General features: G+C 38.2%; 2 protein-coding genes across 7 annotated transcripts in view; one reads left to right on the forward strand and one right to left on the reverse strand.

Moving 5' to 3' along the window:
- REDIC1 (regulator of DNA class I crossover intermediates 1) overlaps positions 1–13,814 on the forward strand; it is a 282,118-nt gene that overhangs the window by 156,310 nt on the left and 111,994 nt on the right. The window contains exon 17 of the transcript NR_135051.2: positions 6,096–6,176. The gene's annotated coding sequence lies outside the window, so the exon portion shown is untranslated. The remainder of the gene's footprint in view (positions 1–6,095; positions 6,177–13,814) is intronic.
- Positions 1–13,814, reverse strand: part of SLC2A13 (solute carrier family 2 member 13) — a 351,057-nt gene that overhangs the window by 27,468 nt on the left and 309,775 nt on the right. The window lies entirely within an intron of this gene.

Consider the following 13,814-nt stretch of genomic DNA (forward strand, 5'->3'; position numbering starts at 1 on the left):
GAGGCCTCCCCAGCCATGTGGAACTGTAAGTCCAATTAAACCTCTTTTTCTTCCCAGTTTTGGGTATGTCTTTATCAGCAGCATGAAAATGGACTAATACAGTAAATTGGTACAAGTAGAGTGGGGCATTGCTGAAAAGATACCCGAAAATGTGAACTTGACATTGGAACTGGGTAACAGACAAAGGTTGGAACAGTTTGGAGGGATCAAAAGAAGACAGGAAAATGTGGGAAAATTTGGAACATCCTAAAGACATGTTGAATGGCTTTGACAAAAATACAGATAGTGATATGAACAATAAGGTCCAGGCTGAGGTGGTCTCAGAGGGAGATGAGGAACTTGTTGAAAAACGGAGCAAAGGTGACTCTTGTTATTTTTATTATTATTATTTTTTATACTTTAAGTTCTAGGGTACATGTGCACAATGTGCAGGTTTGTTATGTATGTATACATGTGCCATGTTGGTGTGCTGCACCCATTAACTCGTCATTTACATTACTTATGTCTCTTAATGCTATCCCTCCCCGCTCCCCCCACCCCACGACAGGCCCTGGTGTGTGATGTTCCCCATCCTGTGTCCAACTGTTCTCATCGTTCAAGTCCCACCTATGAGTGAGAACATGCGGTGTTTGGTTTTATGTCCTTGTGATAGTTTGCTGAGAATGATGGTTTCCAGCTTCATCCATGTCCCTACGAAGGACATGAACTCATCCTTTTTTATAGCTGCATAGTATTCCATGGTGTATATGTGCCACATTTTCTTAATTCACTCTATCACTGATGGACATTTGGGTTGGTTCCAAGTCTTTGCTATTGTGAATAGTGCCGCAATAAACATACGTGTGCATGTGTCTTTATAGCAGCATGATTTATAATTCTTTGGGTATATACCCAGCAATGGGATGGCTGTGTCAAATGGTATTTCTAGTTCTGGATCCCTGAGGAATCACCACACTGTCTTCCACAATGGTTGAACTAGTTTACAGTCCCACCAACAGTGTAAAAGTGTTCCTATTACCCCACATCCTCTCCAGCACCTGTTGTTTCCTGACTTTTTAATGATCGCCATTCTAACTGGTGAGAGATGGTATCTCATTGTGGCTTTGATTTGCATTTCTCTCATGGCCAGTAATGATGAGCATTTTTTCATTGTCTGTTGGCTGCATAAATGTCTTCTTTTGAGAAGTGTCTGTTCATATCCTTTGCCCACTTTTTGGGGGTTGTTTGTTTTCTTGTAAATTTGTTTGAGTTCTTTGTAGATTCTGGATATTAGATGGGTAGGAAGTCAAATGGTCCCTGTTTGCAGATGACATGACTGTATATTTAGAAAACCCCATCGTCGCAGCCTAAAATCTCCTTAAGCTGATAAGCAACTTCAGAAAAGTCTCAGGATACAAAATCAATGTGCAAAAATCACAAGCATTCCTGTACACAAATAACAGACAAACAGAGAGCCAAATCATGAGTGAACTCCCATTCACAATTGCTTCAAAGAGAATAAAATACCTAGGAATCCAGCTTACAAGGGATGTGAAGGACCTCTTCAAGGAGAACTACAAACCACTGCTCAACGAAATAAAAGAGGACACAAACAAATGGAGAACATTCCATGCTCATGGATAGGAAGAATCAATATCGTGAAAATGGCTATACTGCCCAAGGTAATTTATAGATTCAATGCCATCCCCATCAAGCTACCAATGACTTTCTTCACAGAATTGGAAAAAACTACTTTAAAGTTCATATGGAACCAAAAAAGAGCCCGCATTGCCAAGTCAATCCTAAGCCAAAAGAACAAAGCTGGAGGCATCACGCTACCTGACTTCAAACTACACTAGAAGGCTACAGTAACCAAAACAGCATGGTACTGGTACCAAAACAGAGATATAGAACAATGGAACAGAACAGAGCCCGCAGAAATAATGCCACACATCTACAACCATCTGATCTTTGACAAACCTGACGAAAGCAAGAAATGGGGAAAGGATTCCCTACTTAACAAATGGTGCTGGGAAAACTCGCTAGCCATATGTAGAAAGCTGAAACTGGATCCCTTCCTTACACCTTATACAAACATTAATTCAAAATGGATTAAATACTTAAATGTTAGACCTAAAACCATAAAAACCCTAGAAGAAAATCTAGGCAATACCATTGAGGACATAGGCATGGGCAAGGACTTCATGACTAAAACACCAAAAGCAATGGCAACAAAAGCCAAAACTGACAAACGGGATCTAATTAAACTAAAGAGCTTCTGCACAGCAAAAGAAACTACCATCAGAGTGAACAGGCAACCTATAGAATGGGAGAACATTTTTACAGACTCTTGTTATGTTTTAGCAAGAGACTGGCAGCATTTTGCCCCTGCCCTAGAGATTTGTGGAACTTTCAACTTGAGAGAGATGATTTAGGGTATCTGGTGGAAGAAATTTCTAAGCAGCAAAGCATTCAAAAAGTGACTTGGGTGCTGTTAAAAGCACTCTGTTTTAAAAGGGAAACAGAACATAAAAGTTAGAAAATTTGCAGCCTTATGATGTAGTAGAATAGAAAAACCCATTTTCTGGGGAGAAATTCAAGCCGGCTGCAGAAATTTGCATAAGTAGCAAGGGGCCTAATGTGAATCCCCAAGACCATGGGGAAAATGTCTCCAGGCCACTTCAGAGACCTTCACAGCAGCCCCTCCCATCACAGGACCGGAGGCCCAGGAGGAATAAGTGGTTTTCTGGGCCAGGCCTGGGGTCCCCATGCTGTGTGCAGCCTAGAGACTTGGTGCCCTGTGTCCCAGCTGCTCCAGCCACAGCTGAAAGGGGCCAACATACAGCTCTGGCTGTGGCTTCAGAGAGTGGAAGCCCTAAGCCTTGGCAGCTTCCATGTGGCGTTGAGCCTGTGGGTGCACAGAAGTCAAGAATTGAGGTTTGGGAACTTCCACCTAGATTTCAGATGTATGGAAATGCCTGGATGCCCAGGCAAAAGTTTGCTGCAGGGGCGAGGCCCTCATGGAGAACCTCTGCTAGGGCACTGCTGAAGGGAAATGTGGGGTCAGAGCCCCCACAGAGAGTCCCTACTGGGGCACTGCCTGGTGGAGCTGTGAGAAGAGGGCCACCATCCTCCAGACCCCAGAATGGTAGATCCACCGACAGCTTGCACTATGAGCCTGGAAAAGCCACAGACACTCAACGCCAGCCCGTGAAAGCAGCCAGGAGGGAGGCTCTACCATGCAAAGACACAGGGGCGGAGCTGCCCAAGACCATGGGAACCCACCTCTTGCATCAGCATGACCTGGATGTGAGACCTGGAATCAAAGGAGATCATTTTGGAGCTTTAAAATTAGACTGCCCTGCTGGATTTTGGACTTGCATGGGGCCTATAACCACTTTGTTTTGGCCAATTTCTCCCATTTGGAATAGCTGAATTTACCCAATACCTGTATCCTCATTGTATTTAGGAAGTAACTAGCTTGCTTTAGATTTTACAGGCTCATAGGTGGAAGGGACTTGCCTCGTCTCAGATGAGACTTTGGACTGTGGACTTTTGAGTTAATGCTGAAATGAGTTAAGAATTTGCAGGACTGTTGGGAAGGCATGATTAGTTTTGAAATGTGAGGACATGAGATTTGGAGGGGCCAGGGGCGGAATGATGTGCTTTGGCTTTGTCCCCACCCAAATCTCAACTTGAGGTATATCTCCCAGAATTCCCATGTATTGTGGGAGGTACCCAGGGGGAGGTAATTGAATCATGGGGGCTGGTCTTTCCCATGCTATCCTCGTGATAGCGAATAAGTCTCATGAGATCTGATGGTTTTATCAGGGGTTTCCTCTTTGCTTCCTCCTCATTTTTCTCTTGCTGCTGCCATGTAAGAAGTGTCTTTCATCTCCCACCATGATTCTGAGGCCTCCCCAGCCATGTGGAACTGTGAGTCCAGTTAAATCTCTTTTTCTTCCCAGTTTTCAGTATGTCTTTATCAGCAGCATGAAAATGGACTAATACACCCAGAAAGCTCTCTGGGGCTGGTCATGTGTTCTAACTTATAAGGGAAGAGGGTTTCAAGGTATCTGGAGTGCATTCTAAGCAGGCCCTTGCATATAAAGCACAAGGAGAGCATGATATTCAGACTTGGGGCTCAGGATGGTCAAAGCCATCTGGCTGCCCTGACCACACCACAGAAAATCAGAGTCAGAAACTTTTAGGAATTGGGGGAACTTAGACAGACAGTATTAAATCTGGGCTCAGCCTTGGTGGGTGAATCATTCTCTGTACTATCTTTACTCAAGGGGTTAAGTGGTCTATATTTAAATCCCCTCTCTCCTGTAACAGGTGCAATGACTGTTTCCTCTGTGAGACAGAACTGATGGAATTGAGATTTTAGTAAATGACTTATTTTGAGCTAGTTCTTTGTCCACTTACCTTTGTTCTTGGCATAGCAGTCATAATAGCCAGAGGACTTTTTACATGAATCTAATCAGAGACATGGGCATATTTTCTGTGTTTTTTCTTTTTTTTAAAAAAATAATAAATAGCATTGAAGTTCTGTAATGTAGTAAAACAAGGCAGTCTACCTAGATGTTACGGTAAACCTCTGATCTATGTATCAGGAGTGACTCAATCTGGTTAAAAGTTGCAGAAAAATTTAGATGGATTTCGGTATATGGCTAGTTTTATACAAAGGTTAACACACAAGCCTTGCAGTGTAACAGACCCAGGTTTGAATTCTGGCTTCACCACTTACTACCTTCCACCAGTGGCCTCCATCAAGTTACTTAACCTACCTGAGACATGGTATTTTCATTTAAAAATGCTTAGCATGAAATGAAATTAGTATTAAAATAACAGTAATTACTGTTGTTATTATTAAAAATGCATGCATTCTGCCAGCCCCAAGGACAGAAAGGAATACTTTTTCTTCTATAAAGTTTTACACATTACAATATTCCCTGTGGATATGATGTGTTCTCTAAAGCAGAGAGAAATCCTTTATCGGGATTTCTAGGAGATTATTTTTTTCCTTCAGTTCACTTTATTTATTTATCCCAGGCATACTACTTTTCTTAATCTTTTAATCACATTTTGATATACTTTTTTGGCTTCCTCTTCAGTCCCTATTGAAACAAGTTTTCTCTTCATGCAATCATGAATAAACTTACTCATTTCTATTCAGTAATGTAAGCATTATCTTTTGTAACATTAGGATAAATTTTAGCATGCAAATGAATAAATAGCAAGGGCAAGAGACAAGATAAGGTGTCTGTTAATAAATAAATGACATGATGTTAGGTGAATGGAAACAGCTGGGAGACCTACTTTTAATTTTCTCGTTATCTAAAAATCAGAAAGGCCAAATGCATCAAGTTTACTGATAATTCACTTCTGTTTGCTAGCCATGAATCCATCATGTAAAGAGTGGTATTGATGAAAAGAGCAGTATTGTCACCTACAAAATGTACTTGGTACTAATGTAATATATGGTACTGCCAATTCTATCATAGAAATTTGGCCAAGGAATGAGAATGTAGTAATTTATGAATTCTAGGACAATTACATAATAATACAAACAATATTCTATTACTCATACTTGTTGTGGGGTATATAAACAAAAATTATTTTACCTCTAGGAAACTTATGTACTGTTGTTCACCTTTATATGTGAGGGATACATTCCAAGATCCTCATACCTAGTACCAAACCCTATAGATGCTGTGTCATTTTCCTACATTTATAAACCTATGAATATGTTTATAAGTTAGGCACAGTAAGAGATTAACAATAATAACTAATAATAAAATAAAAAACAATTATAACAGTATGCCAGTATCACTACTCTTGTGCTTTGGGGCCATTATTAAGTAACAAATAAGGGTTACTTGAACACAGTGCAATAGTGCAACAGGAAATCTGATAACTGAGAAGACTACTAAATGATTAAGGTGCAGCTAGCTGAGACAGCATGGATATACTGGACAAAGGGATGATTCACATCCCAGGTGGGACTGAGAAGATGATTTCATCACACTACTCAATGGTACACAATTTAAAACTTATAATTGTTTATTTCTGAAATTGCCCGTTTAATATTTTTGGACTATGTTTGACTGCAGGAAACTGAAACTGTGGAACGAGAAACCATGGATAAGGGAGGACTACAGTACATCAAATGGACCAATCATGGCTTTCTGCAGGTGTGAAAACTTTAGGAATCATCTAAAATTTTCCTAAAATATCCAAGCTTGCATGTTCAGGTCTGTAGTAATATAATGATGCTGATATTTTGATAGGCACAATTAACAGAATGCTGATTTGTATTAGAAAGTAGCTCAACAATCGAAGTTGCCCTGCAATCTAAATTTCCAGACTCAAACTTCAACTACTCATCTACATGTAGCCATCTTATCACCATAAAATAAATATTTTGGTATGCCTCCTTAGAGTTCTTTTCTAATACGTATTTAAAAATCTACTGTGTGTGTGTGCGCAAACAAAATCGGATTGATGCCATAGTTGTTTTGTAGTTTGTTTTAACTTATTAAAGTCTGTTATACATACAAAGAAGTTATCTATGTACACTTTAAAGAATGATAATAAGATAATCACTGATTTACTCACCAATCAGCTTATTAACTATATCATTATCAGATTTTAGAAGCTCTCTGTGAACCACTTTCTGATAGGATCCCTCCCTTGGCCCCAGAGATAATTACCATCATGAGTTCTGTGTTATTTATATCCTTGTTTTTCTGTATAGGATATTTTCTACGCATGTACTCCTAAAAATACATATCACTTGGTTGTGCCTGTTTTTGAACTTAATGGATTATTATATGATTTATTTTATTACTTGTTTAATTTCTTAATATTATGCTTTTGAAATTCATTCAGGTAGATGCCTTTAGCTACAGTTTATTTTGAGTGCATCATGATATACACTTTATGAAAATACATCAGTTTATCCCTGATGTATACATCCCCCTACTCATTTCCAGTTTTTAAAATTACAAATAATGCTGCTATGCACATATTTTTAACATATCTCCAGGTACATGTGTGCAAGGGTTTCTCTAATAAATATGGGAAAACAGAATAAATAGAATTGCTGGATTATAGAGTATGTGCACACAGTCAATTTTATAGATAATACAAACTGTGTCGTAAGAAGTTGAAACCATTAAGATTCTCACTAGCAGTAGAAGACAGAGAACTCTATACTACAACCTAGCCAACATTTCTTTTTTAAGTATCCATTAACCTAGTTGATAAAAATGGTATGCCAATATCGTTCTAAATTGCATTTTATTGATTAATTAAGAGCTTGAGCCCCCATTTCACATATTTATTGGCCATTTGGGTATCTGCTTTTATAGAGTGTCTATTCTTTCCCATTTTCCAATTGGACAGTTTGCCTATTTCTGATTGGTTCATAGGAACGTCCAGATATATTATAAATCAGGATATCTTTAATATACAACATGAGCCACAAATATAATTTTAAATTTTCTAGTAGCCACATTCAAAAAGTAAAAGGAAACAGGTGAAGTTAATTTTAGTAATATATTTTATTTAACCCAATATATCCTAAATATTTTAATTTCAATATATATTCAATATAGAAATTATTAAGATTCTGTGCATTCTTTTGTGTTCTTTTTTTTTTTTGACAGACTAAGGTTAATTTATCATTGAAGAAAGAATTTTTTATTAGTATAGCCTAAGTGTACAGTGTTTTTTTTTTCTTCTTCTTCTTTTTTTATTATACTTTAAGTTTTAGGGTACATGTGCACATTGTGCAGGTTAGTTACATATGTATACATGTGCTGTGCTGGTGCGCTGCACCCACTAACGCGTCATCTAGCATTAGGTATATCTCCCAATGCTATCCCTCCCCCCTCCCCCCACCCCACCACAGTCCCCAGAGTGTGATATTCCCTTCCTGTGTCCATGTGATCTCATTGTTCAATTCCCACCTATGAGTGAGAATATGCGGTGTTTGGTTTTTTGTTCTTGTGATAGTTTGCTGAGAATGATGGTTTCCAATTTCATCCATGTCCCTACAAAGGACATGAACTCATCCTTTTTTATGGCTGCATAGTATTCCATGGTGTATATGTGCCACATTTTCTTAATCCAGTCTATGATTGTTGGACATTTGGGTTGGTTCCAAGTCTTTGCTATTGTGAATAATGCCGCAATAAACATACGTGTGCATGTGTCTTTATAGCAGCATGATTTATAGTCATTTGGGTATATACCCAGTAATGGGATGGCTGGGTCAAATGGTATTTCTAGTTCTAGATCCCTGAGGAATCGCCACACTGACTTCCACAATGGTTGAACTAGTTTACAGTCCCACCAACAGTGTAAAAGTGTTCCTATTTCTCCACATCCTCTCCAGCACCTGTTGTTTCCTGACTTTTTAATGATTGCCATTCTAACGGGTGTGAGATGATATCTCATAGTGGTTTTGATTTGCATTTCTCTGATGGCCAGTGATGATGAGCATTTCTTCATGTGTTTTTTGGCTGCATAAATGTCTTCTTTTGAGAAGTGTCTGTTCATGTCCTTTGCCCACTTTTTGATGGGGTTGTTTGTTTTTTTCTTGTAAATTTGTTTGAGTTCATTGTAGATTCTGGATATTAGCCCTTTGTCAGATGAGTAGGTTGCAAAAATTTTCTCCCATCAAAATTCAACAACCCTTCATGCTAAAAACTCTCAATAAATTAGGTATTGATGGGACATATTTCAAAATAATAAGAGCTATCTATGACAAACCCACAGCCAATATCATACTGAATGGGCAAAAACTGGAAGCATTCCCTTTGAAAACTGGAACAAGACAGGGATGCCTTCTCTCACCACTCCTATTCAACATAGTGTTGGAAGTTCTGGCCAGGGCAATCAGGCAGGAGAAGGAAATAAAGGGTATTCAATTAGGAAAAGAGGAAGTCAAATTGTCCCTGTTTGCAGACGACATGATTGTTTATCTAGAAAACCCCATCGTCTCAGCCCAAAATCTCCTTAAGCTGATAAGCAACTTCAGCAAAGTCTCAGGATACAAAATCAATGTACAAAAATCACAAGCATTCTTATACACCAACAACAGACAAACAGAGAGCCAAATCATGAGTGAACTCCCATTCACAATTGCTTCAAAGAGAATAAAATACCTAGGAATCCAACTTACAAGGGATGTGAAGCACCTCTTCAAGGAGAACTACAAACCACTGCTCAAGGAAATAAAAGAGGACACAAACAAATGGAAGAACATTCCATGCTCATGGGTAGGAAGAATCAATATCGTGAAAATGGCCATACTGCCCAAGGTAATTTACAGATTCAATGCCATCCCCATCAAGCTACCAATGACTTTCTTCACAGAATTGGAAAAAACTACTTTAAAGTTCATATGGAACCAAAAAAGAGCCCGCATCGCCAAGTCAATCCTAAGCCAAAAGAACAAAGCTGGAGGCATCACACTACCTGACTTCAAACTATACTACAAGGCTACAGTAACCAAAACAGCATGGTACTGGTACCAAAACAGAGATATAGATCAATGGAACAGAACAGAGCCCTCAGAAATAACACTGCATATCTACAACTATCTGATCTTTGACAAACCTGAGAAAAACAAGCAATGGGGAAAGGATTCCCTATTTAATAAATGGTGCTGGGAAAACTGGCTAGCCATATGTAGAAAGCTGAAACTGGATCCCTTCCTTATACCTTATACAAAAATCAATTCAAGATGGATTAAAGATTTAAACGTTAGACCTAAAACCATAAAAACCCTAGAAGAAAACCTAGGCATTACCATTCAGGACACAGGCGTGGGCAAGGACTTCATGTCCAAAACACCAAAAGCAATGGCAACAAAAGCCAAAATTGACAAATGGGATCTAATTAAACTAAAGAGCTTCTGCACAGCAAAAGAAACTACCATCAGAGTGAACAGGCAACATTCTTTTGTTTTCATACTATGTCTTTGAAATCTGGCATGTATTTGGGATAAGAGACACTGCAAGTCCTCAAAACATGTGACTTGTGACTACCATTTTGGGCAGCACAATTCTAGATACTAAGCCTCTGCCAGGTGTGTATACAGTCACCTTCAGTATCCATCAGGGAACTAGTTCCAGGATCCCTGTGGATACCAAAACCCACACATACTCAAGTCCTGCAGTTGGCCCTACAGATACCAAAAGTCAGATATAGATACCAAAGTATATGTGGGTTTTGCATCCTGCAAGTACTGTATTTTTTTATTCCTGTTTGGTTGTAGATTTAGAACCCACTGATATGGAGGGCTGGCTGTATTTAATGAAAAAAAAAAACCCCACATAAAAGTGGACCACGCAGTTCAAACCGATATTGTTCTAGGGTCAACTGTATTGCAAATTTCTATCAATGTGGGGCTTCTCTTTCTACTTTCTCTATGGTATCTTTTTGTGAACCAAAGTTATGAACTTTAAGTAGGCATATATCTACATTTTCCTTTATGCCCTGTGTTTTCTATGACTGGTTAACAAAATCTTTCACATTCCTTGGGTCATAAAGATATAAAACTATATTGTCTATTAAAAGTCTTACAGTTTGCAAACACTACCATCATATATGTAGAAAATCTAATGGAATCAACAAAAAGAATCAGTGAATTTAGCAAGGTTGCATTTTACAAGATTGGCACATTAAAACCTACATACTATTTATATATACTACAATCATTGGACATTGAATTAAAGAAAATTCTATTTATAATAGCACTAGAAAAGGAAATGTTTAGGAAGAAATCTGACAAAAGACGTGCAAAATTGTACATTAAAAACTACAAACCATTGCTGAAAAATATTAAAGACTAAATAAATGCAGAGATGTACCTTGTTTATGGGTTTATTGGTAAAGACATCAATTCATCCCAAATTGATCTATAGAGTCAATGTAAGTCCAATAAAAATCTTAGCAATATAAGCTCACTCTAAAATTCATATGGAATTGCAAAGGATGTAAATAACCACAACAACATTATTCCCATCTTAGCCTCCTGAGTGGGGGTACTTGTATAGTACTTGGAAATGACTTCTGCATGTGCATCCCTGAGAACATTTCTAACGTGAAGCCAACCAGAATCTCTTCTGCATGGACAACCTGGCCCTTACTAGGATATATATTGCGTTAGGTAGATGGAGCTGGGACCTCTGATTTTAGGCATTCCAAACAGAAACCGAGTCTTGGCTCTGAACAATTCTCCAGATTATTCATGCACCTGCTTTTCCTCTTCATAGGAATCCCTCCCATGAAATGCATAATTTCTAGGGTCATTAATCTAAGCAGTGACATAATTTCAAAATAAATGATCCCAGAACATTATCTTGAACAGAAGCAAATGGGAACTTTAACTCTGAAGTTCACCCTCCCATTCTAATGACTTTTATCTCAGTGAGCTCATTATGGTTGGTCAGTGTTGGATTTTTGTCCACCTTGGCCAAGAAGAGGGATGTGGAGAACTGTAAAATTTTCTGCTCTGAACCTAATACCTACTTTCTTGTTCTCTGATACTGAGAAAGTAACACACTCCCTCTAAATTACTCTTTTGAGCTAGCAATTCCTAGAAGGTGATGTATGGCCTGGAATGGGCCAAATTGCAAAAAAAAAAAAAAAAAAAAAAAAAACCAAAACAAAACCTCCCTTCTGCAAAATTGCAAGAGTTGCCTGAACAGTGTCCACCAAACTTGCAGCTCTCCCTTTGTTGCTTTTGTGTTTTTCCCCTATAAAACCCCCTTATTCTTGATATTTGAATAATATACATTTTCTGTTGCATTTTGAGATTCCAAGAATTTCTGACAGACACTCTTTAGTTACTTGAAAGATATTTTCACTGGGCATAGAATTATAAATTGGTATTGTTAAATTACATTTGGCCTAGAGCTGCCTCTTTACATATTTTAAATTCTGCCTAAAGGTTTCCCCATACATAATTAACTATAACGCAATTTGATGTATAAAATAGACTGTAACCTACTCTTGTAACAAGTAGCCAAGTCTCAGCCAATCGCAGTAGCCAAACTTCAGACAACCACAGACAACTGTTCAAAGAAGGCAAAGGCAGGTTCAAAGAAGGCAAAGGCAGAGCTGTAACCAATCCAGCTGTTTTTGTACTTCACTTCCATTTTCTGTACATCACTTTCCTTTTTCTGTCCACAAATGTTATCCAACCATGTGGCAGCCTGGAGTGGCTGTGAACATATTCTGGTTCTGGGGGCTGCCTGATTTGCGAATCATTCTTTGCTCAATTTGCGAATCATTCTTTGCACAATTAAACTCTGTTAAATTTAATTTGTCTAAGGTTTTTAACTGTGTATTTTCTCTCCACGCATGAAGGATAAAATTAAATTCTCTTCTGAAGAAATGAGCTGTCAGTCTAATTGCTCTTGCCTTGAAGATGATTTCTTTTTCCACCCTCCTTAGCTGTTTTTTAAGATTTTCTCCTTCTCTTTGCTGTTCAGCAGTCTCATTCTAATCTGTTTGGTGTGGATATTGTCTTACTGCTGGGATGCTTTGTGCTTCTTAAAGCCATGGGTTCAAAAATTCGGGAATATTCTCAGTTATCATACATTTAAATATTGCCTCTTCCCCATTCTATCTTTCTAGAACTATCATTTGGAGTACGCTAAACTTATTATCCTAACGTCTCTTATATCTTGATCTCCCCCCACCTCTCTCTCTCTCTGTGTGTGTCACATCTTTTTTTTAATGTTTCTTTGAGTTTCATTCAGGAAACATTTTCATATCCGTCTTTCAGTTCACTAATTCTACTGAGTCAAATCTGCTGATAAATCTACACAGTTTTAAACTTAATTTATCATATATTTCTTTTCTAGAATTTTTATAATTATAGTTATAAATCTGCTTATTGTCTGCTCATATTTCCAAAATTCTCTTTTATTTTTTAAATATCTTAAACACAGTGATTTTATATTTGTCTAATAAATCCAATACCTCTAATCTTTGCAGGTCCAGCTGATGACTGGGTGTTTCACTGATTCCTACTCATGGTGCCTAGTTCCCTGGTATATTTTATGTCATGAGTTACTCATTTTCTTTGGACTTTTATCTATGGAATGATTTGGGCTTGGATAGACATTGTTATTTCCAGAGAAGATTTACATTGGCTGTTGCTAGACACCTGGAGGTGCTGCAGAGCCAGAGCTACTTTCGAGTAAATCTTTACTAGAAGTTTTATGGGCACGGGAAACATAAAGTCAGGCCACATAAGGGCTGACTTCTGATTTTAAATTATTGGGGTAGAGTGTCCTGCTCTATCCAAGCCATGGCTGAGGGAGGAAACTTCCTTGCTGTCCTTTTATGCATTGGGGCATTTTTTTCTTTTATAATAGTTGTATTGGGATCATTCACATGTCATCAATTCATCCTTTTAAAGCATATAACTCAGTGATTTTCAGTATATTCACAGAGTTGTGTAGCCATCATCACTACCTAATTTTAGAACATTTTCATCAGCCCCAAAAGAAACCCCACAGCCATTAGCAGTCACTCCCAAACCTCTTCTCCCCCCAGCCTCTGGCAACTACTAATCTACTCTGTGTATGGATTTGCTTATTATGGACATTTCATATTAATGGAATCATACAGTATATCACCTTTTGTAACTGGTACTAGACCTAACATGTTTCCAAGGTTATGCATGGCAATTTTCATATTTCATTCACTCCCACGATGTAGGGGGTAGCCCTTAACATCTTAACTGATCTGAGTGTGACCATGTGACTAAATTTTTACCATTGGAATGTGGGCAGAAATACGGTACA

This window comes from Homo sapiens, chromosome 12 (genome assembly GCF_000001405.40).
Source record: "Homo sapiens chromosome 12, GRCh38.p14 Primary Assembly".
Classification (NCBI taxonomy): domain Eukaryota; kingdom Metazoa; phylum Chordata; class Mammalia; order Primates; family Hominidae; genus Homo; species Homo sapiens.